This window comes from Homo sapiens, chromosome 4 (assembly GCF_000001405.40).
Source record: "Homo sapiens chromosome 4, GRCh38.p14 Primary Assembly".
Taxonomy (NCBI): domain Eukaryota; kingdom Metazoa; phylum Chordata; class Mammalia; order Primates; family Hominidae; genus Homo; species Homo sapiens.
In genome coordinates, this window is record NC_000004.12 from 141,646,011 (window position 1) to 141,669,226 (window position 23,216).

The 23,216-nt window shown below is 36.4% G+C and overlaps 1 protein-coding gene across 3 annotated transcripts in view; it reads left to right on the forward strand.

The window, feature by feature from the left end:
* The window catches only part of IL15 (interleukin 15), a 97,405-nt gene that overhangs the window by 9,428 nt on the left and 64,761 nt on the right, over nucleotides 1-23,216 (forward strand). For all 3 annotated transcript variants that reach the window (NR_037840.3, NM_172175.3, NM_000585.5), the window contains exon 2: nucleotides 10,176-10,297. The gene's annotated coding sequence lies outside the window, so the exon portion shown is untranslated. The remainder of the gene's footprint in view (nucleotides 1-10,175; nucleotides 10,298-23,216) is intronic.

Sequence of the window (23,216 nt, forward strand, 5' to 3'; positions counted from 1 at the left end):
TTATTCTTTTGGGAAAAGCAAGTCAGAAGGCCACCCAGATTGAAGGGGAGACGACATAGATTCCACCTTTTGATTAGTAGAGTGTCATGCATGTTCATGGGGGGAAGGCACTGACTGATGGCAGCTGTCTTTGGAGATTATCCACCACAAAGGGTAATCCGGTTAAAATATTAATCAGGTTATGCTACTCCTCTATTCCAAACCCCACATGGTTCTCCCATCTCACTCTAATAAAAGCCAAATTCTGTTACAGTGGATATTAAGTCTCTTAAGTGATTTGTACCCCTGATGTCTGCCATCTGCTACTCTTCCCTTAGCTCACTGAGTCAGTTACACTGGCACCTTTTCTATTCACCAACCATACTACTATGTTCTTGTCTAAGAGTCTTTTACCTTGCTGTTCCTTCTTCCTAGAATGCTTTTCTCTCAGATATCACCCCCTTCCCCATACCTGCTTTGGGGTTTGTCTCAAATATCCCTGTTGCAATGAAGTAATCCTTGACTGATGTACTTCAAATTGCAGCCTCACCAGCACTCCCTGTCCCAACCCTGTTTGGGAATTCAGATTATTTTTCAGATTTTGGAAAGTAATATAGTGTGTTTACTATATATCATGTAACGACCAAGCTTATTCAGGTACTTCCTCAAAAGGGAATAAATACAGCTTACACATAGTCTAATGTTAGTTCAGCTTGTGTTTTGTTAATCAGTGAATTAAGGAGAAACTTTCAGTTTTTGGAGCTTTTTTGATTTAATATTTTCATATAAGGGACTATGGACTTGTATGTTTTATTGAATTATTTGATTATTAACATCTCCCTTCATTAGAATATGAACCACAGGAGAACATGCAGTTTTGTTATTTTATTCATTGCTATATTCCCATCACCTATTAGTGCTAGGCATATGGTAGTCTCTCAACAAATATTTGCTTGAGTATTTAAAGCAATATTTAAAACAAAAATGAATGAGGGAATGAATGGATTAATGAATGCTAAGTAGTAGGGTACTGCAAATAGAATGGAGAATAGAAAGACAAGCTAATTTCAAGGAAGATTTGATATACCAGTGTTCTATTTATTCATTGAATTGATTTTGGCACTTCAGCAGTTAATAATTTTGAGTGCCTAATATGGGCTGGGGACTTTCCTAAATACTTGACTGGTCTTGATTGAGTGGGAGGAGCAGAGCACAGCGAAGAGTCAGAGAATGCCGAAGATTTTAACCATGAGAGTCAGGAAAGATAAACATGTTAGGAACAGATATATATTACAGCTAACACATGGGGCAAGGTAGGGGAATGGATGAACTTGATTTTGGAAATATCACGATTGAGTTAAAAGTGGAATAAACTACTTAAAATGTCCTGTAAGTGATTAGAAGTACTGGATTGAAGATTGGATAAGCTATTTGTACAAGATTTGGGTTTGTGAATTAAGTAAAGAATTATTGGTTAAAACAAATGGTCAGGATATTTCCCCAGGAGGCAAATGTATATATAGATGGCTTAGGGTCACATAAGACAACTAGAGGGACTGTCACTGAGCTAAGCACCCTGAAAGAGGAGATATTCGGGAAGGCCTTCGAGGAGGAATTGACCAGCTCCCAGGTCTTCAAAAGAGAAGGCTAGGCTTTTTACACCTCCTAGACCTTGCCTTCCTGTCATACTTGCTCTGTCTGCTGCTCTCTAGAGGGATTTTAATCCCTCATATGCTTATTCTTACATAGGGATCATCTTTAAAGACTCACTTTCTCTGTGACGTTTTCCTGGCGAGACACTATCTTTACCTCCTGTCTTGCCTGACACCTTTCCTTTGTGTGTTCTCCACCTGATAGATACTTCTCTCATAGTATCTGCAGTGTTTCACTGTATTTATCTGTGTTCATATTGCCTCTCCGGCAGGTAAATGATAAAGGTCATAGATGAGAAGAATTGTGATGGTGGAGTTGGAAGGGCTGAAGTTTGAGAAACACTGCATTCTTATGTGTCTAACACCTTGTCTGGCACATAGTAGAGCTATAATAATGTTATTCTTGTTGTCAATGATCCAACATATATTCCTGAGGGGTCAAGTTAGATCAGGTTCTGAGAAAAGGAGTTTGACCATATTTGACTCATAGTATATTACTGGTGATCACATGGCTTTTGGGAAACTATTCACAGCATATTTCCTATTATCAGGGTCAGGAAGGGAAATAGAATTTTCTGGGGATGTACTTTGGGCCAGGTTACAAATAGAATCTTTAACTTCCTTATTAGGAGTATGAGTTTTAGAGAACTGAAAACAAATACGTTTGTTTAATATTTTGTGCCAGTTTTATTATAGAGGGGATAATTTTATAAATTTGCAAAGTAAATGCTTCAGTAAATGAAAGGAAATTAAAACAAGGCACATCTTATTCTCTAAATTCCTTCAAACAGAAATCCTTTCATTTTCTTTATTTTATTTGCCGAGTATTTTGAGAAGTTATTTCAGTAGGACAAAAAAGATGAGAGAAATTGTGTGAAAATAATAGTATTGCGGAAGTTTAATTTATTTAGTGTCTCTTCTCCTGAGGGTTTAAGAGAAGAAATATGGTTTCTTCTCTTGTTATGCTGTTAAAAAAATTTGCAGTTACCTCAAATATCAGATTAAAATCTGTATTTGGTATCTTTAGATTCTACTCCTGAAAAGCAAGATCCTTGTAAAGAACCTCTAAAACTGGAAAGATGTGATTATGCTGATGGCTTATTTGACTTGATATTGAGGCATTCATCTTCTAAACCTTGGCCTTTCTTAAGTCAAACCATATTACTCTGAGCCGCTGCAACTTATAAAGCATGGCTTCCAGGCTAAGGTGTTTAAACCAAAGAGGCTAACAGCACACCAAAAGTTCTAAACAATAGTGGATATTTATTGATCACTTTCTCTGTACATGGCTCCCTGCCAAGTGCTGTGAAGGATAAAAAGACGCAGCACATTTGATTCTCTTTAGGAACTTATTGTCTCGTGGAACAATTATTGTTTGCATGTAAACAGCTGAGTGTCCAGGATACTGAACTACTCTCTGCCCCTAAACACAACACACTTCCTTTCATAGCCAAATATTTTGACATGTTTCTCTCATTGGAATGCACTACTTCATCCAGTATCTCTTCCGTGCCCCCTTCTCCTGACTCGCCTGGTCCAGAAATCTCAGTCTGATAATGCCTTCTCTGGGAATATTGTCCTAAATGTCCAAAGTTGGGTTAGGTGTCTTTCATTCTTAACTTCATTCCATAAATATTTCAATAGTTAACATTTATTTTCACCCATAGTCCCAAGTACGTTAACATATGTAGCATTCTCAAACTCATGAGATACTTTCCTTCCCACTTTTCAGATAAGTAAACTGAAGCACCAGGAAGTGTGGTGACTGGTGCAGGGACTACCAGTAGGAAGTGGTGGAACTGGAGCTTGAACTCAGGTTTCTCTCTCAAGCATGCACACTTCCTATAGAGGGTGCTACCTTGCTGGTGCAATTAATAAGAATTATAAAGATTAAAAGAGAGGAGGTGAAATTTTCATTATTTATAGATGAAAGCCATACAAATTAACAAGCTACTAAAACAAATGGGAGAGCTCAGAAAAGTTGCCAGACCAAAGATTTTTAAAAATCAATAACATTTTTCAATAGTAAATAAAGCATTAGCTAACATAACACAACAGTAAAACAAACCAGCAACACAACCTTCCCCAGTAGGAGCACGCTTGCTGCAATTAAATATGGTTTATTTGAGGATTGTCTGGATGGCTCAACATCAGAAAATCTATCAAAATAATCTTAAGGATATAGGAAAAGTTAGTGTCAAGTTCTGAGAAGAATAAAAATAGATTGGATTTTCCAAAACTGACTAAAGTATATCTATGAAAAATCTATAGTAAACAACAAATTTAATACAGGGCTCAGAAAAACATTTTTTGTTTTACATTTTGGGAGACGATGAGGATGCCAGTGTTGGCACAACTATTCAGTAAAGTGATGAAGACAAAAATAATAATCACCATTCATTTGTATTGAGTGTTTACCTATGTGCCAAGCAGTATAAAAGCAAAAGTGGTGGATTAGCCATTGGTGCAAGGAGATGGTGAAACTCCCATCTTCCTACTCCTCCAAGGTAGAGGTGATAATTGAACTACAGTGAGCCAGGATGAAATGGAGTTGTCACAGAAAATTGTAACTAGGATGCTTAATTTATTGTTCTGACCCAGAATGTAGCTATTTGGACATAATGGAATGGAGCAAATTACAATATAGTAGAATTTGGGTGGTACCAATGATGGTGTAGGATAGTTAGATCTAAGCTGTGAGATGAAAAAATCCCTCAATGTCTACTAGTAACTGCGCTTTAGATATAGTCAATACATATGGAGGTGCAAGCCCCAAACATACTGTTATCATGGATTTTATGGATGAAGCAGAGCCCTTTTGAAATTGAAGTTAATATGGAGAAGCAGCACAATGCATAGCATATGCTTTGTGCTATGGTAACTGAATGAACTTCTGGTGAAGAATTAAAGGAGGGATCCAAAACACATTGCTAAATTTCAATTTAACCTCTTTATGTAAAATTGAACAATACATTTAATTTCTCTGCACTTATTATTCTCTTCTTGAAAATTAAGATAATTAGACCAGAGAAAATCCCTTTGGTGTTGAATCTGGTGGTTCAGGAAACCAACATAACATGGATGGATTCTATCATATGCTGAGATTTTCAACCTGTCATCTTTATAGATGTTACTTAGGCACTGGAAGGGACTTTAGACACCTCCAGTCTAATCTCCGTATTTTAAAGACAAGGTAACTGACACTTAAAGACATAAAGTACCTTGCTAGTGTCACATAGCTGTTTAAAGGCAGAATCAAGCCTAGGGTCCAAGTCTCTAGACCCCAGTCCATTCCATGGTTCTGGTAAGATTAGGAAAGCTCCACATTTCATCAAGAAGTTCTCAATCTCAATTTTACATGAACTATAGTTTTGGAAATTGTAATATGTTAATGATGAATAGATGGGAATGATGGTAGTCTGTATGGAGTATAATAAAAGAATAGATGAACACTTCCACCATTATTTACACAACACATCCAAAGAGATTCCACAGTGTGCGTGTGTGTATATATACACACCATATATATATATACACACACACCATCTATATATATACATATATATAAACACATATATATACACATACACAATGAAATACTATTCAGCCATAAAAATATTAAAATCACGTCTTTTGCAGCAACATGACGGAATTGGAGGCCATTATCTCAAGTGAAACAAATCAAAACAGAAAGTCAAATGTGGTATATTGTCACTTAGAAGTGGGGGCTAAGTGATGTGTACACATGGACATAGAATGTGGAATAATAGTCATTGGAGAATCCAAAAGGTTTGGAGGATGGAAAGAGGTTGAGGGATGAGAGATTACTTAATTGTACAATGTACATTATTCTGGTGATGGTTACACTAATAGCCCAGACTTTACCTCTATGCAGTATAGCCATGTAACAAAACTGCCTTTGTATGCCTTACATTTTATTTTTTTAAATGAATGTTGTGGTCCCACCACATGGACCACATTTAATGTTAGTTTCCTAGAAGTATGTTTTATAACTGAATAGAGATAATTTTCTATATTGTATTCCAACCCGGATGATATACATATATATTCGGTAAGATTTTTCAATTTTCTTTGTTCTCACTCCGTATTTATCAAAAATTAATTTTATGAATAATTTGGTCATGTAAGTTAATAATGCAGGCTTAGTTACTCAGGGATTGCTCTGGAGCAAGAAAAAAGTTACTCACTTCTACCTTCTGTACCCCTTCATCTTTCACTCTGCCACTGCCAATAAAACCCTCCAAAGAAATCCGACATCTTAGACTACAAAAAATGCAGCCATCTTGGGAAACCTGTAGCAAGTACACCCAGCAGAAAGGGTCAAAATCTTAAAGATTGTGACAAATCTGTAATCCCACAGAAGGGATGAGGCATGCCAAGTGTTTGATGTCTACAAAAACCATTTTCCTTAGACAAAAGCTGAAAGGCATAGGAGAAGTAATATAAAGCAGAAAAAATGAAAAGCAAAAATTATAAAGAAGACAAGAATGGCAATCTATTTATAATAATAGTTTTGATAACAACCATTTAGATAAGAATAGTTAATGAGGCCAGTGAAAGAGGAGATAAAGTACTAAAACGGACTATTCTCCTATTGTGAGGACAGGATCTCTGTTAGCTCTGTCTCAGATAATTTGTACAGCCCAAGTGGAGAAGGAAGAACCAGCAGTGCTATAAAAGATAAGTTCTGCTGTCCAATCTAGGGAGAAAAAAGCAACCACATTGACCACATTAGAGCTCAGGAGTCCAAACACTGCTAGTTGCCAAATAAACTTTATTAATAGAGACGACCTCCCCCTTAGCAGTTTTATAAGCACTATTGCTTTTTTATATAGACTTGAGAAGGTTAGTTTACTTGTCAGAAAGTAGGCCAGAAAGCAATGTTTTAGAAACAAGACGTTTGGGACTGCTACAGAGATCCAATGCTCAGGCTAAATCACGTGATACATTTCATGTGAAGCTAAGTATTTGGAACAAGAGATGCCAGAGGTCTAATCAGCAAGAATAATAAACAATTAGAAGAATGGCAGCCAAGCCTAGAGAAACTGTCTGGAGAAAGAGTACTGGAGGATTTGTGGTCTAATGTGCATTTGTGCTTAGTAAAAGATTAGCTGTTCCTAGATTTTTAAATTTAATTTTAAGTGTTATTCCTGAGGATTATGGTAATCGCATCTCTTTGCTTCTATAAGGGATTGGTGAGAAGCAGTAGCAATATTTGAATCCAGTTATTTGTGAGTGGGAGATGTACTATATCATTAGGTGTCATTTTCACCGAATACGTTATTATCAGCAGGTAATAAGAAATGTGCATCATTACAAATTCTCATCTGGTATTTTGTGCTCAAACAGACAAGGTATGTCTTCTGTGGCAGCACTGAGTGATCACATAGAGACTGGTGTCAAAAAATGGCTCTTATAAATTACAGGATACATTTTAATAGTTAAACAATTATCTAAAGAGGCACCACTGGAAAATTGTTTAGTAACAATTGGCTGATTTTTATGATGAAGGATAATTCAATTAAAAAAATTATTTACAGCCTCCTTTGGTTCAGAAACTGTGCCATGCTTTGGGCATTCTAAATGAATTTTGTCTTCCAGGAGTTCATCTTCTAAGCAGCTTTATGGAGAATGTCATAGTTTTTTCCCAAATTTTCTTCATATATGATTAGACAAAATATTTAAATCTGTGCTACATAATATTTTGTGGTATTTTGATTTTAATTTTATGAGTGGATAATACATTACCATGGTTTAAACTTCAAAAGTTTCAAAGCGCTTTCCAATTCCCTTCTATAGATGCAACCAGTGCTATCATTTTCTAGTGTATGTCCTTGCAAATGTTTTGTGCAGACACACAAAAATGCACGTATATATTTAACCATCCCCCTTTCTGAAAACAAATACACACTGTCGAGTTACCTTTTTCTTTTTACTTTAAAAATACACCTTGGATATATGTTCATGCTAATATTAAAAAAAACTTCCCATTCTTTTCTATGGATGTATAATATTACATTGCATGCATGTATTATAATTTACTTAAGCAGTACCCTACTGATGGACATTTAGGTTTTTTCCATTCTTTTGCTATTACAGGAAATATTCACATGAGTAATTTCAACACTGATATTCTAAAGTGAGCTAGAGTGACTGCATTCCTGTTTCCCAGCCCATATTCCATAGAACACAAGTCTCATGAGATGTTCAATATCCAAAAGGGTTCTATAGTTAAATAACTTTGATTAACTCTGGGTATTTGTTGATGTTTATAGTGCATACTGTCAAATTAAAAGAAATCTTGCAATAATCTGCTTCGATGTAATCCAAGTGTTTCCTGACCTCACATTTTCTCAAGGAATGGAATACACTATTGTTTTAGGTCAGGTTCTTGGGAAGCAGACTGAGATGGAAATATACATGCGAGAGGCTTACTGGGGCATGTTCTAAGGAACAACACCTGATGGAAGTAAGGGCAGATCAAAACAGGGTGGGCAGAGGGAGAAGTTGGACTGTGATGCAGTTGGAACAGTGGCCTCACTGGATCCAACAGGGAGCCCTCTAGAGGCAGGATGGCCCTTTGGGGATGTTACAGCTCTGGAAGGGAAGCAGGCCAGATTCCTGGAAGGGAAGCAGGCCAGATTCCTGGAAGGGAGAGCTTTCTTCCATTGAAAGCATTTATCAGGAGGGGCTCAGCTATGAGCTGTCAGCTGGAACAATGAATTTCATTGTTCACTACAACTCTGTATAGAATCTTCAAATTTTTAAAGGAAATGCTTATCAGTTCCTAGAGTGTCTTGCTGGTCAGAGCAAGTCACTTGGTCTCCAGGGACTCAGTTTCTTGCTGTATGAAATATGGATGCTGAGCTGAAAGTTCTTTAGAGTTTATAACATTCTTTGCATCTATTTCCATTTCAGTATGTGCTAATTGAATTCCAAGGTCAGACATAAGTTTTCCCCAAGACATACTTGGCCATATAGAGGCCTATGATGTGGATAGATAAGCTCTAACTTTTTAATATTTCTGCTGTGCAGTTATGGAAAAAAAGTGCATTGTTATAATGCTTTCAAGTATGTGTTACTTAACTTGGGGCAGACTCTTGGGGCGAAGGTGCATAAGAGCTGAATTAGAGCTTTTTATTAAAATATAAAAATATATTTTTAAAATATTTTGGTTACCTCTTGTTGGGTGTTTGCTGGAGAAGCTAGCTTGCTATCTTCCTAGGAACATTGGCCCATATTGATAAAATTGAAGAAATATACTGGCATAGGGTGTAAAAGAGAGAGGAGCATAACTGGCTTTAAAGCACATTCTTAGGAGCTCTTATTTATTCTCCTTTTAGAAGCTCAGGAAGCAAACAGGTATAGACAAACAGCTATAGCAATTTCTCAGGGACCTTCCATTTGGGAATCAGATGGGTCTAAATGCCCATCCTATGTCATTTATGGTACTTGTGAATTTCATTCTCATGCTCCTGCAGGATTCATCAATTGTGGTTGTTATTGATGGAAGCTTGTTTCCTGGTAGGAGTGGGGAAAGGGCTCAGGGAATGGGCCTCTCTTAAGTGTGCCTGGTAGAGTTAATGAAGGTTCATAAAGAGGATGGAAAACATATCCAAGAAAAAGAAAATGTTCTTTAAGATAAGGAAATGGGAAGTGAAATCAAATTTAAGGCGGTATTATACAAACATGATGCAGAGAAAAAAGCAAAAAGAAAAAAAAAAACAATTCTAAGATTGGTGGCTGTATGGGTGTAAGATCAACTTTTAAACTGAATGTAAGTTTTTCTAAAAAACCTTAATCTTTTTCTTCAACACAAAGCTTCATGCGGATTCTTGGATCATACTGAAATTTGATTAAGATGTTTCTTAATTTATTTTATAAAATAAAAGTTATACTACTTTACTTTTTTAAATGGCATAATAAGTTGGATTACCCTTATAAAAAAACATAGAAGTTACACTGTTTTTAGGTTTTCTAATTAAATAATCTGTTGCCATATTTATACCCCCGAATCACATATACCTTAAAATATTATACTATATTATGATGTTGTGTTTTACTACTTCGTATTTGAGTGGAGACTTTGCCACTTCACTTTTAGAATAAACGTTTACAACTTATTTTCAACACCTTCTTCAGACTTGGTCAATAACTTAATATCAAACACACAAATACACTTGACATCATGTGTGCTTTGTGATATTTTGTGATAAAGAGAAAGACAATTTACTAGAGAGCTATATGAAGCATTATAGGTTTTAAAAAATGATATATGATTTTTTTCTCCAAAATGATGTAGCTTTAGTCAGCAAGGACATGAGTTAAATTATGGGGAACTCTGAGGATTGTAGAAAAGATTTCCCCAAGAAGTTCAGTCTTGACTTATGCAGTTTTCTCCATATGAGTCTTCCTGTTTTTTTATAGCATGATCAGGTATGTAGGTAACCATAAATCTGAGGAAGGGAGGATTACTCAATACATAATTATTAATCCTCTTATCCGTACCTTTGACTCTTACAGAATCCATTCCAATATATGGCCATGTGGCTCTTTGGAGCAATGTTCCATCATGTTCCATGCTGCTGACGTCACATGGAGCACAGAAATCAATGTTAGCAGATAGCCAGCCCATACAAGATCGTGTAAGTAAAGTTTTAAAAGTTTTATCATGCAATACAGATACTTTTATATAATAGCATAACTAATAATAAGGAAAATGTGGCAAAACAGGTGAAGTTATATATACTCACAGCTTTTAAAATGAGCATCTTGGTTTAAAAAATATACCCTTTGTTATTGCATGCTTAAAGCATATATTTGAAGGCACAGAATATTGCACATAATTTTTTTTCTGAAAAGAGCCACTTAGTAAATATTATAGGCTTTGAGAGTCAAATGCTCACTGTCACAATGAGTCAACTCTGCCCTATTACCTGAAAGAAGCAATAATCGTGTAGGTGTATGGCTATGTCCCACCAGAAGTATTTACAAAAACAGGCGGCTGATGAGGGTTGGCCTCTGGGTCATAGTTTGATAGTTTGTCAATTCTAGGCATATAAAATGACAGAATTGTGCATATCACTTTCTGTATATTACTGGGTTAATTTTGAAAGAACTTGCGTGCTTAAAATTAAATAATAAGTGTAATCAAACTATCTAATTTTTGAATGAGTTTATGTAAGGATATTAGAAGATAATGTAGATTAGATTTTTTAAATGACTGAGTCTTTTAAGGAGTATTTTAGAAAAATGTAAGGTCAAGTTCAGTCTCGATAACTAAACAAAATATAGTAAGGTATAACTTGATGATGGAGATATGTTCTAAGAAATGCATTGTTACACAATTCTGTTGTGGGAACATCCTAGGCTGCACTGACACAAACTGAGATGGTATAGCCTATACATGCCTAGTCTATATGGTATAGCCAGTTGGTTCTAAGCTACAAACCTGTACAGCATGTTACTGTACTGAATACTGTAGGCAATTGTAACACAATGATAAGTATTTGTGTATCTAAACACAGAAAAGATACAGTAAAAATATAATATAAAAGATAAAAAATTATATCCTGCATAGGCCCCTTAAGATGGATAAATTTTACAATACTGGAAGCTGCTCTGGTTGATTCAATGAGTGAGTGGTGGGGGAATGTGAAAGCCTAGGACATTACTTCACACTACTGTAAACTGTATAAACACTGTACACTTAGGTCCTACAAAATTTATTAAAATATTTTTCTTCTTTTAATAATAAATTAACTTTAGATTATTATAATTTTTTAAAGTTAAGAAACAAACATTTTCTTTAACTTTTTGACTTTTGTAATAACACAACTTAAAGCACAAACATATTATACAGCTGTACAAAAATGTTTCTCTTTACATCCTTATTCTGTAAGCTTTTTTTCTGTTTTTAAAAATTTTTAATTTTTACTTTTTAAATTTTTTTATTAAAAACTAAGACATAAACTCACACATTAGCCTAGGTCTACACAGAGTCAGGATCATCAACATCACTGTCTTTCTCCTCCACGTCCTATCTCACTGGAAGGTCTCCAGGGGCAGTAACACACATGGAGCTGTTATCTCCTATGATGTCAATGCCCTCTTCTGGAATATCTCTGAAAGGTACTACCTGAGGCTGTTTTACAGTTAACTTTTAAGAAAATATAAGTAAAAGGAGTACACCATACAATAATGATAAAAAGTATAGTATAATAAATACATAAACCAGCAACATAGTTATAATCAAGTATTATGTACTGCATATAATTTTATGTTATACTTTTATATGACTGGCAGCACAGTAAGTGTGTTTCCACCAGCATCACCATAAATTGAACAATGCACTGTGTTACGACATTATGACGTCGATGTGGTTTGGATTTGTGTCTCCATTGTTGGAGGAGGGGGCCTGGTGGGAGGTAATCAGATCATGGGGCAAACTTCCCCCTTGCTGTTCTCATGATAGTGAGTTCTCACGAGATTTGGTTGTTTAAAAGTGTGTAGCACCTCCCCCTGCTCTCTTTTCCTCCTGCTCTGGCCATGTAACACATGCCTGCTTCCACTTCATCTTCTGCCATGATTTTGTTTCCTGAGGCCTCCCCAGTCATGCTTCCTGTATAACCTGCAGAACTGTGAGTCAATTAAACATTTTTTTCTTTATAAATTACCCAGTCTCAGGTAGTTTTTTATAGCAGTGCGAGAATGGACTAATACAGACATCTTTGTCACCAGCTGCTAGGAATTTTCAGCTCCACTATAATCTTATGGGACCACCTCATTGTATATGCAGTATGTCATTGACTGAAACTTCATTATGGGGCGTGTGACTTTAAAGCCACAGAAATAAATCCAAGCATCTGGCTTCTTACTGGTAAAGTGAATATATACATTTCATTTTCACTTTCAGTTATAATTTCTAATTAACACTCTCAGATAGAATTCTGTAGCATGTATACTAGATCAAGATAAACAGTAGAATAAGTAAAGGACTTTAAGGAAATTGAAACATTTTATAAGAACTCCAAGAGGAAAAAGGCAGTTTATTTTTCCATCATTTTTAGTATGAGAAAATAAAATAAATATAAATTCAAAGAAAAAACACGGAAATCATGCTCTTTGACAGTCATTATTTATAAACTGAAACTTACCCCTTAACTTCATAAACTTCCTAGAAATTATTGTTTCTTGGAATTTTTTTTTTTTTTTTGAGACAGAGTCTTGCTGTGTTGCCCAGGCTGGAGTGCAGTGGTGCGATCTCGGCTCACTGCAAGCTCCGCCTCCCGGGTTCAAGCCATTCTCCTGCCTCAGCCTCCTGAGTAGCTGGGACTACAGGCGCCTGCCACCGCGCCTGGCTAATTTTTTTTGTATTTTTAGTAGAGACGGGGTTTCACCATGGTCTCGATCTCCTGACCTTGTGATCCACCTGCCTCGGCCTCCCAAAGTGCTGGGATTACAGGCGTGAGCCACTGTCCCCGGCCTGTTTTTTGGAATTTTTATTAAGAATTCCCCAAACTCAAGAACAAGTTTCCTGGTGTCTTTTTTTTTTTTTGGAGACGGAGTCTTGCTTGTTTGCCCAGGCTGGAATGCAATGGCGTGATCTTGGCTCACTGCAACCTTTGCCCCTTGGGTTCAAGCAATTCTGCTGCCTCAGCCTCCTGAGTAGCTGTGATTACAGGCACATGCCACCATGCCCAGCTAATTTTTGTATTTTTAGTAGAGACGGAGTTTCACCATGTTGGTCAGGCTGGTCTCGAACTCCTGACCTTGTGATTTGCCCACCTCGGCCTCCCGAAGTGCTGAGATTACAGGCATGAGCCACTGCACCTGGCCAGTGTCTTATTGATACACACAGATTAGGTATTGCTACCATTGAGGGGTTAAAAAAGAAGCAGGGGGAAATTTTGAGTATTGAGTGATAATATTTGAGACATTTTTAGTAATAGCAATGTGGTTGTGAAGTGTCTTGTCACTGAGATATTGATGGAAATGAATAAACATTCTTTTTAAAAAAATTTATTCTGATCAATTCTGTGGCAAATAAGCTATGGCAGGGGAATTTTGCTTAAATGAAATCATGCTTGAAATATGCAAGAGATTTAAACAGGGATCTCCCCTAGTATATGAGTAGTAAATAAGTGTTTTGAAGTCATAAGAAGAGTGTCGTGTGCCTTCTGTTTTTCTTTTTATGAATTCTGTTTGATTCCTACATTTTTTAGGTTCAGCTTCCTTTGTTGGGATACTTAAAAACAGGTACATTTTGATTGCTTATTTCTTGGTGGCCAGTGATAGTTATTCATGTCAGGATTTAGGTGGAATTAAAGACCTCAAGTATCTCTTTCAATTTGCACAGTAAAACAGGCAAGTAAGTGTAATTTGTTCCTTGGTGAGCTCTGCTCTTACTGTAACAAGAACCCAGAAAGGCACTATTTGTATCAGTTAATCCCTTGAAGGTAGCTTTTATTTTGGATAGTCAACTGGGGAATGTAATGGGCTCCATGCTAAAGAAACTTTCACTGTGAAACATTTCTGCCAACCGAATCTCACTTGTAGTCTTTATCATGATTTCTTTGCTATAATTTTTACATTCTGAAAATAAATGCATTTATAAAGCAGAATTTGGGTATAAACTAAGTTACTAGGAACCTCACCAGTGCATGCTTTCACTCAAGGCCCCTCCTCTTTTATTTTAGCTAGGGATGCAGCTTACAAGCTTGGGTGGCCTTGAGTCACCACTTTTAACTCAATTTAGTTAAAGCTTTTAATTTTGTTTCTTATTATCTCTTTGATTATCAGGGTATTATGCGCTCATTATAGAAGAGTGAAAACTACAGAAAAGTTTAAAGTGGGGAAAATATCACCAGGTGCCGTAATTACTAGAAGGCAACTAAACACATGACTGTTAACACGGTTATTTTGTTTACGTGGTTGTTATAAAAAAGATTGAAAAGTTGCGTTCTGGTTTTGCTTGTTTACCAGGAAATTGTGACATTTCTCTGTGACATTACATAAGTAAACATTATTTTAATGTGTATATAATACTCTAAAGTAGGTTCCAACCCATCATTCCTTTCTCTAATTGTTGATTATTATAAATAGCACTTCAGTGATTATATTTTTGAATAAATTTTGTCCAAATTTATGATAATTCATTAGGTACATTTCCTAGGAAGGGAACTAAGATGTCTAAAGTATAAATATTTTAATGGTGCTCTTATCCCAAAAATGATGTACAAATTTACACTTTTGTCATCCCTACACCTTCATCATCTCTATGTGAGTCTTGGTGATACTGCATCCTCACCAGTGCTGATGTTTCACAATCCTTTCTAGTTCTATGAAGAATAGGGCAGCAGTTTATGCCAAATGTAATTCTCTTGGAAACCACAGAGAAAATTATGAGAATGGCATTGAAGGGAATCCCACAAACTAGGTCAAGCAAAACCCAGAGACAGTGAGTAACCATAAAATCCAGAACGTGTTACTGTAGATAGGCAAAAGCAACTGAAATTAGCAGAATTTGTGCAGGAAATACTGCCAGGAAGAATGAGAGTGTGGAGGAGCCACAGAGTGATAGCAGGTGTTGATGACTGTCATCAGGTAAGTATTCTAAGAAGGAAAGAGCCCTGTTTTGAGTGGGAGCTAAACTCAAATAGGGAGTCATTCCTGGGAGAATAGGAGAAAGATGTTTTTGTTCCCATAAGAGGCAGATCTCAGAAAGCACATCTTTTAAAAAGGAGAGAAATGCATTGGAAGGAAGGGGTTGTATCCCTTGGTGGCAGTATCTAGTGAGGAAGCTGGAGGAGCTCAGAGATGGTGCACGTGCCATTCCTCGTAAGATCCAATGGACTTCACAAGGTGCATCCTGACAGGCAGAGTCGGATTCCTGCCTGCACTGTGCACTTAGTGCCTGGGATTTTTCTCCTTGTATGGAGATGCGGACAAGTTAACAGCCTGTGTGGCTCATCTTTGACCAATGGGATACAAAAGTTGGCAACACATTCTTCCCCTTTTCTCTGCCTGGGTGTGACCTCTTGAAGTACAGTTTGTGTACCGCTGTGCACTTAGAAATGGCGAGCTCTGTTGCACTCCCTTATATTGGCTCCCTCCGCCCTCCATTTCTGTTTTTTGTTATTGTTGTTGTTGCTATTATTTCTTCTCCTTATTTTCACTTCTTTCTGCTTTCCTGGAATCATACCCCTCAATAAAATACTTTTTTCTGTGTCTCATGATGATGTCTTACCCGTCATACCTTTATTGTTTTTCTGATTTCTATTGGGATTTCTTTACTGTTCCATGGATTATTTAAAAATGTATTGCTTAATTTTCAAGCAATTGAAGATTCCCTAGTTGTCTTTTTCGTTTTTAGATTTCACAGCCAGATTTCTTTCAGAGAATAAAACATTGAGTACTTTTAGTCCTTTTAGTTTTGTCATGACTTGCCTTAGGCCCAACATATGGTTAATTTTGGCAAATGTTCCAAGAGGACCTAACAAAAGTAAGTTTTGCCATTGAGTACAATGCACCTTAGAGAACAGGTAGGTCAAGTTTATTGTTTTTTCCACATCTACTCTGTCCTTGTTGACTTTTTCTTTTACTGTGTATTCTATCAGCTTTTGAAAGAGATGTTTTTAAATTACCCGCAATGACGGTGAATTTGCCTATAAGCCTTAAAGCTGTGATTTTAGAAGACTATAGATTTTGGAATGTGAGACCTTCCTGGTAGTTTGACCTTTTCATAGTTAAGAAATGCACACCATCATCTTTGTAATAAGGCTACCTGCGTTAAAGTCTGCTTTGTTATTAATATAGCTACCTCAGCTTATTTCATTTAATATTGCATGATATATATTTTCTCATCCATTTACTTTCAGCCTGTTTTTGTCTCTGTGTTATGTATGTGCATCTCTTGTAAACAGCATGTAGCTGTGTTCTTTGTTACTGTTTTGAATTCAGCCTGACAATCTTAGTCTTTTACGGAGTATTTAGTTCATTTTTATTTAATGTAATTACCGATGTATTTGTGTTTGTATTCATCAACCTATTTTTTTTCTGTTTGACTCAGTTTTTATGTAGCTTTTTCTTCCTTTGTTGTTATTACTTAGCTATTTCAACATGCATCCTTTGCATATTACATTCTATCTAATGACTTGTTTTAAGAAGAGATAATTGCAGTTTGATTTAAACCCTTAAAGAAGAATAAAAACTTCAAATTGTTTCCATGAAGTGAGAATGCCACTGATATCTAAGTTTGATAAAAATTTCACAAAAAAACTATTTCCCAATTTTATTTATGAATATCAGTGCAAAACTCTTCATATTATTGGCAGAAAAAAAATCCAGCAACTCATTAAAAAAGTAATCATTAAAAAAGTAACTCATTAAAAAAATAATATCATGATCAAGTAGGGTTCATTCTAGGAATGAAAGATTGTGAACTCTATTAAAATAATTTATCATATTAATTGGTCTAAAAATCATATGTTAATTTCTATAGATGCTGAATATTTATTTGACAAAATTCAACAGCCATTGTGGATATTTTTTAAAAAGACAACTCAATAAAATAAGAGTTAAAACATTTTATAAACAAGGTGAACTGACAAACTATTTATGCTATAGGGGCAGAAATTGGGTGATCCCTTTCTTCCCCATTATAAAGGTCACAGCCTACACACCCTTATAACGAAAGACAGATTAACAAGAGAAATGCATAGCACATTTATTTGATCATAGTTTTATGTGACACAGAAGCCTTCAAAAATGAAGACTCAAAGACTCAGGGTAAACTATCCATTTTCATACTGGTCTTTTTGGAATGTTTATGGAGACTTCATTAGCTAGGCATGATTGAAGCATAAATGGCCAATGTAGAACTGTGCTTGGCAAAAACGGCATGATCTAATGTTAATAGACCTGGTAGGGAAATCTCAACAAGGCCTGTTCAGATTCTTCTTGCCCTATCTATGCAGCATTCCTTCCTCCCAGGTATGGGATATGGCCCATCTGGAATGAAGTCTTAATTTCTTTTTGGCCAACTGTTACATGGAAAGGTCGGGGAAGTTGAGAGTAATATTTTTAGGTTTTATGCCTGGCTTTGGTGAAAAGGGGTTCTGGCTCCTATGACCTGCCTTGAGGAAGAGGGCTTCTAGTTTCCGCAGCTCTCCTTGGGGAAGAATGAGGCTAGGGGAAGAATGAGGCTGAGAGGAGAGAGTAGGAGGTCAGAGAGAAACTTGCTTCTGAGACTGCTTCTGAGGCCTTCATTTTGAAATATAATTTTTTGAGCCCTGAGAATGCACACAAACAAACAGAAACACACAGCACACAAACACACAATCTTGTCTCAAAGCCATTTTGTAATGAATAACAAAACACTAGAGGCATTTCTGCTTATTCTGTTAAAAGTATAAATCAGATAAGGATGCACAATTCTCAACCCTGCTACTGATGCTGTACCAGAGATTTTAGCCAACAAAGCAGATACAAGAGACAAATGAAGTCTTAAGCTCTAAGACCTAAGCAGGTGGAAGTAAAACCTTTATGTTTCTGTGACTTAATATTTCAAAAACCCCCAAATAACCTGTGAGAGTTTCTAACCATTACTCAATTCCAGCATCTAAAATAGGAAAAACAGAGATAAATCTGACTCATTAAAAAAATTCTTTGGTGGGCAAAACACACACACACACACACACACACACACACACACACACACACACACACAAAACCAACAACAAAAAAACCCTCTGGGGAAATTCAAAAGAATGATAAACTGGGAAAAATATTTACTTCTCCAATCACCAAGCATTTTCCCCCTAATATATTAAGAACTTTTAGAAACTGGGGCGTGTGGGGAAGTACAAGCTATAGAGCTGTTGGCAAAGAACATAAATGAACAGTTTATATAAAAAGAATTGCAAATAGCATTTCAGCTCATAAAAAAGATATTCAGCCCCACATAAGACACCAGTTGTTATTTGATTTTATTTAAGAAATGAGAGAATATAAGTATATATTTCTAAATTTGCTTGCGTTTTATAAAGAAACTTTCAAGGAAGCACAAGAATGAATAGAAATGGTTGCCTACAGAGACCAGAGTGGAGGGACAACAAATAGGGTGAATGGGACAGGAATTGAAGCCTAATTCTTACATACATACTTTCTCATATTGTTTCATTTTTTAGCCATGTGAATATATTACTTTTATAGAAAAATATATAAAAATACAAATTTGCAATTCCTTTATTTAAGGTGAAAAATTTCACCTCTTTTGATTACTGTGTAAGTTGAGTTCTTTAAAGTGTTCATGTGCTATTTGTATTTTCATTTCTTAAAATTATCTGTTCAAGTTCTTTATATTTAGAGATATTTTTGTTTTGTTGTTTTTTTAACCAAACTTTATAATTCCTTAATATGTTAAGGAACCAGTACATTTTATCATTTTTATTTCACCTTTTAAAAGTCTGGTTATCCTATCATTTTGTTTATTATACATTAACTTAGAGAAATTAATAATTCTTATTTTGTCAGATCTATCAATCTTCCTGTGTTGACTTTTTAAGAAACATTACTATATTTTATTTTTGAAATGACACCCAAATGCTAAACGTTTAATAAGAATCATATCAATTTTAAGGAAATTGATTATCACTGGCTGACCTTTCACTTCAAACTGCCCTCTTTTTAATAAAAGCATAAAACATTTCAAAGGGATCATGACAGTGTATTTTATTTTATGACCTAGTATTTATTTTAATATATACTAGGTCTAGTTCCTCTTTATTCCTTTTCTATTTAAAAATTATTTTCACCAGTAGATGTTTTTGGATGAACTTACGGATCATAGTGTCAAGTTCGCTTCTTATGTCAATTCTTATATGTCAATTTCACTTCCAAATTTCTTATGAAATAATTTGGAAAAATGATATTTCTGTAATATATAGTTTCCATCTAGGAATAAAGTATGCTTCTCAGATTGTATAATTGTTCTTTTTGCCTTTCAATCTAGTTTTATTGATTTCTTTATATATTTCCATACATTACCATATTCATTCCTAACTATGGTATAATTTTGTTGCTAACGTGGATTAGGTAATTTCCCCTACATATTGATGAGACATGGAATGATGAATATAAGAGTTGTTGATATTATGATGTATATATTTTGGTTTCTGTCCATGGTTTCTGTCTCATAACTCCCATAGACCTTGTTATTTCCTAGGTGACTAAAACAATAAGTATATGTCTTTTGTTAAAGTATTTAGTCTTTTGTTCTTGGTTTCTGAAGCAGCTTCCAAACAGCTTTTAAGTAATAAAGGTGAAAGACAGCCTTTTGTCATAATGTTGGGGCTCTTTAGGGCTCAGAAGCAGGACTCAGAAAACAGAATCTCTCTCAGACTCATCCTTTTTATTTATTATTTATTTATTTATTTATTTATTTATTTATTTTTTGAGACGGAGTCTCGCTCTGTCGCCCAGGCTGGAGTGCAGTGGCACGATCTCGGCTCACTGCAAGCTCCGCCTCCCGGGTTGACGCCATTCTCCTGCCTCAGCCTCCCGAGTAGCTGGGACTACAGGCGCCCACCACTAGGTCCCCGGGCGTGGTGGCTCACGCCTGTAATCCCAGCACTTTGGAAAGCCGAGGCGGTCGGATCACGAGGTCAGGAGATCGCTCCCCACCTTTTAATTTAAAATTTTCAATTTTATAAGACAGGGTCTCACTCTCTCAGCCAGCCTGGAGGGCGGTGGCACAATCTTGGCCCAGTGCAGCCTTGACCTCCGGGACTCAGGTGATCCTCCCATCTCAACCTCCTGAGTAGCTGGAGCTACAGGTGCACACCACCCTGCCTGGCTAATTTTTTGTGTTCTTTTGTAAAGATTTAGTTTCACCATGTTACCTATGCTGGTCTCAAGCTATCTATCTATCTCAGCCTCCCAAAGTGCTGGGATTACAGGCGTGACCCACCCCACCTGGCCCTTCTGCTTCCCCCCACTTTTTTTTTTAACTTTCTCCTTTTTCTCCCCAAGGAAGGCCATAGAAACTAAAAATATACTCTCATCTTCCCCCCTTTGTGTCTTGGAGCTGGCCGTGAAGAAATTGTCTGATTGTAAGTCATAAGATCCCCATTTCTGAAGGGGTCCTGCACCATACCCAGGAAGAAGGAATGCTGCACAGAGAGGCCAAGAAAAATCTAAACAGTCCTTGCTGGGTTGCCCCACTCAGCCTATTCATATTAGGTCATACTCTCTTTGTCCAGTCATATTTTTACATGATTGTCCATGCTTCAATCATTCCTATCCAATGAATTTTCCATAAGAGGCCCAGAAAGATAGAATATGGGAGCTCCTGAACAGCTGAACTTGTGGAAGCTTGCAGAAAGGTGAAGAAGAACTCATCCACGTGCGGGTGGGTGGCACATCCCATTTACACAGGAATGGAAGTGCTTGTGCTCAGGACCCTTTAGACCTCACCCTATGCATCTCTTCATCTGACTGTTTATTTGTATTTTTAAAAATATCCTTTATAATAAAGTTGTAAATGTATTTCTCTGAATTATGTGAGCCAGCCTAACAAATTAATCAAACCCAAGGACCGGGCTGTGGGAACTCTGATTTATAACTGATCGGTTAGAAGCCCAGGCAAAATAACCTGGGGCTTGTGGGAACTGAGCCTCCAACCTGTGTGATCTGATGCTGTCTCCAGGTAGATAGTGTCAGGATGCTATTTCCAGGTAGAGAGTTGGGTGTCCACTGCAGAACTGATTGCTTGCTTGTTGGTTAGGAGAAATCCCCACAAACTTGGTCACAGAAGTTTTCTGTATTGATTGTTGTGGTGTGAGAGTAGAGAAAAAACTGTTTTTCCACCCAGCACCTATGGTTTAATTCATACCTTTTTTTTTCACTCTGTATGCCACTTACTTTAAAAAAATAAAAATGTGAGTGTCTTGTCTGGCCAGCAAGATTAAGAAATAAGTTTGTCTTCTGCTTTCCGGGGCTCTGTTTATTCAGTTATAGGAAGGAAGGGTAGAGTTGAATCAAATATTAATTCTTAAAACATCTTTTGGTTTTTTATTTCTTTTATAATGTGAGGTAATGCGGGGTGTATTTATTTTTTTCTTGGTATCCTAATGTATATAATACTTTGAAAGTTGTCGGAACCCTCTATGGATTAGACATACATGCATAGATAAATAAGCATGAACATCACTGTCGTCATCTACCATTAGTGAGCTTATTTATTTAATTCTTTCTCTTATTTTAATTTTCTGGTACAATAGGTTAATATTCTGTGAAAACCAACCTGACATTCTTAACCTTTTCATGGGACATTAAACTTTGACTACTGTCACAGTTAGTAAAGTTCCCTTTACAGAAATTTAATTTGTGCATTAAAATGTATGTATACAATTATCTTTTATTAACACATTTTACAGTTGTGATTAAATCACTGTATAATTTTATTAAAACATATGAAATGATTGATTTTGAGATAGAGATAATACATAGTGCCACATATGGCGGGAAATACACGCACATCCTTGTTCAGAAGTATTTTCTTTAGGATGGAAGGCCCTTTGAGAGAGACACTGCAGCTCTCCTGTGCCTCAGCCTACCTCCCTGGGCCAGGTGTCTCTGATGTGGTGGGTTCAGCTTCCTTTATGCCACTTGGCCACTGCCTCTTCAGTGCAAGCCTCTGACTCTCTCCTCAGCTATCTTCCATGCTCCCTGTGGGTTTTGGCAGAAACTTCTGGATTCCTTCCAGAGAAGAAGCTTAGATGAGTGAACTCAGTCTTTCTCTCTGCCTACCTAGTTTTCACCTTTGTTGTCACATTTGGTCGTTTCTTGAGTGAGACTACCCTTCATGTTGGTATCTGTCAGGAGTTTGGCTGGGTTGTTGGGGACTAAGCATGCCACCAAATCCACTCTCAATCCCCTACTGGTGTGTCAGTACTGGATGAGAATTTAGCTCACATAGGTCTTCCTCTTCCTTTTTTCTCTTTGCCTTCCCACCCACTAGCTGATATGCCAACTTGCATCACATCCTTTTTCTCCTAAGGGCAACCTCCTGTTTAGCCTCCATTGACAAATCATATTTCCATTCTCTACCATGGTAGAAACTCAATTTAGACCAACTTTCATTTTCATGATTGAAGCCTTAGGAAAGCTAGACAATAGGGATTTACAAACAGGAGATTACACTGGTTTATTCTAAGAGGAGCCTAACTTCGTGCTAAAAACGTGAATGCAAGACAGGCTGCCTAGTTTCTTGTTCTGGGCTGTCACTTACTAGATGTGTCACTTTAGGTAAATAATGTAATTTCTTTTTTCCTCAGATTTGTCATCTTAATGGCAATCTGTTACAACAACTTTATAAGAAAGGGATTATTTTATCATCATTTTATGATGATAATTTAAATGTCATTTAAAATGATGACAAAATAGTCCCTTTCTTAAAAAGTTGCTGTAACAAAAAATTAGTTAAGAACCTAAAATAGTAACTGAAAAGTAATAAATATTTGGTATCTGTTAGCTAATACCAAATATTAGGAGGCTAAATGA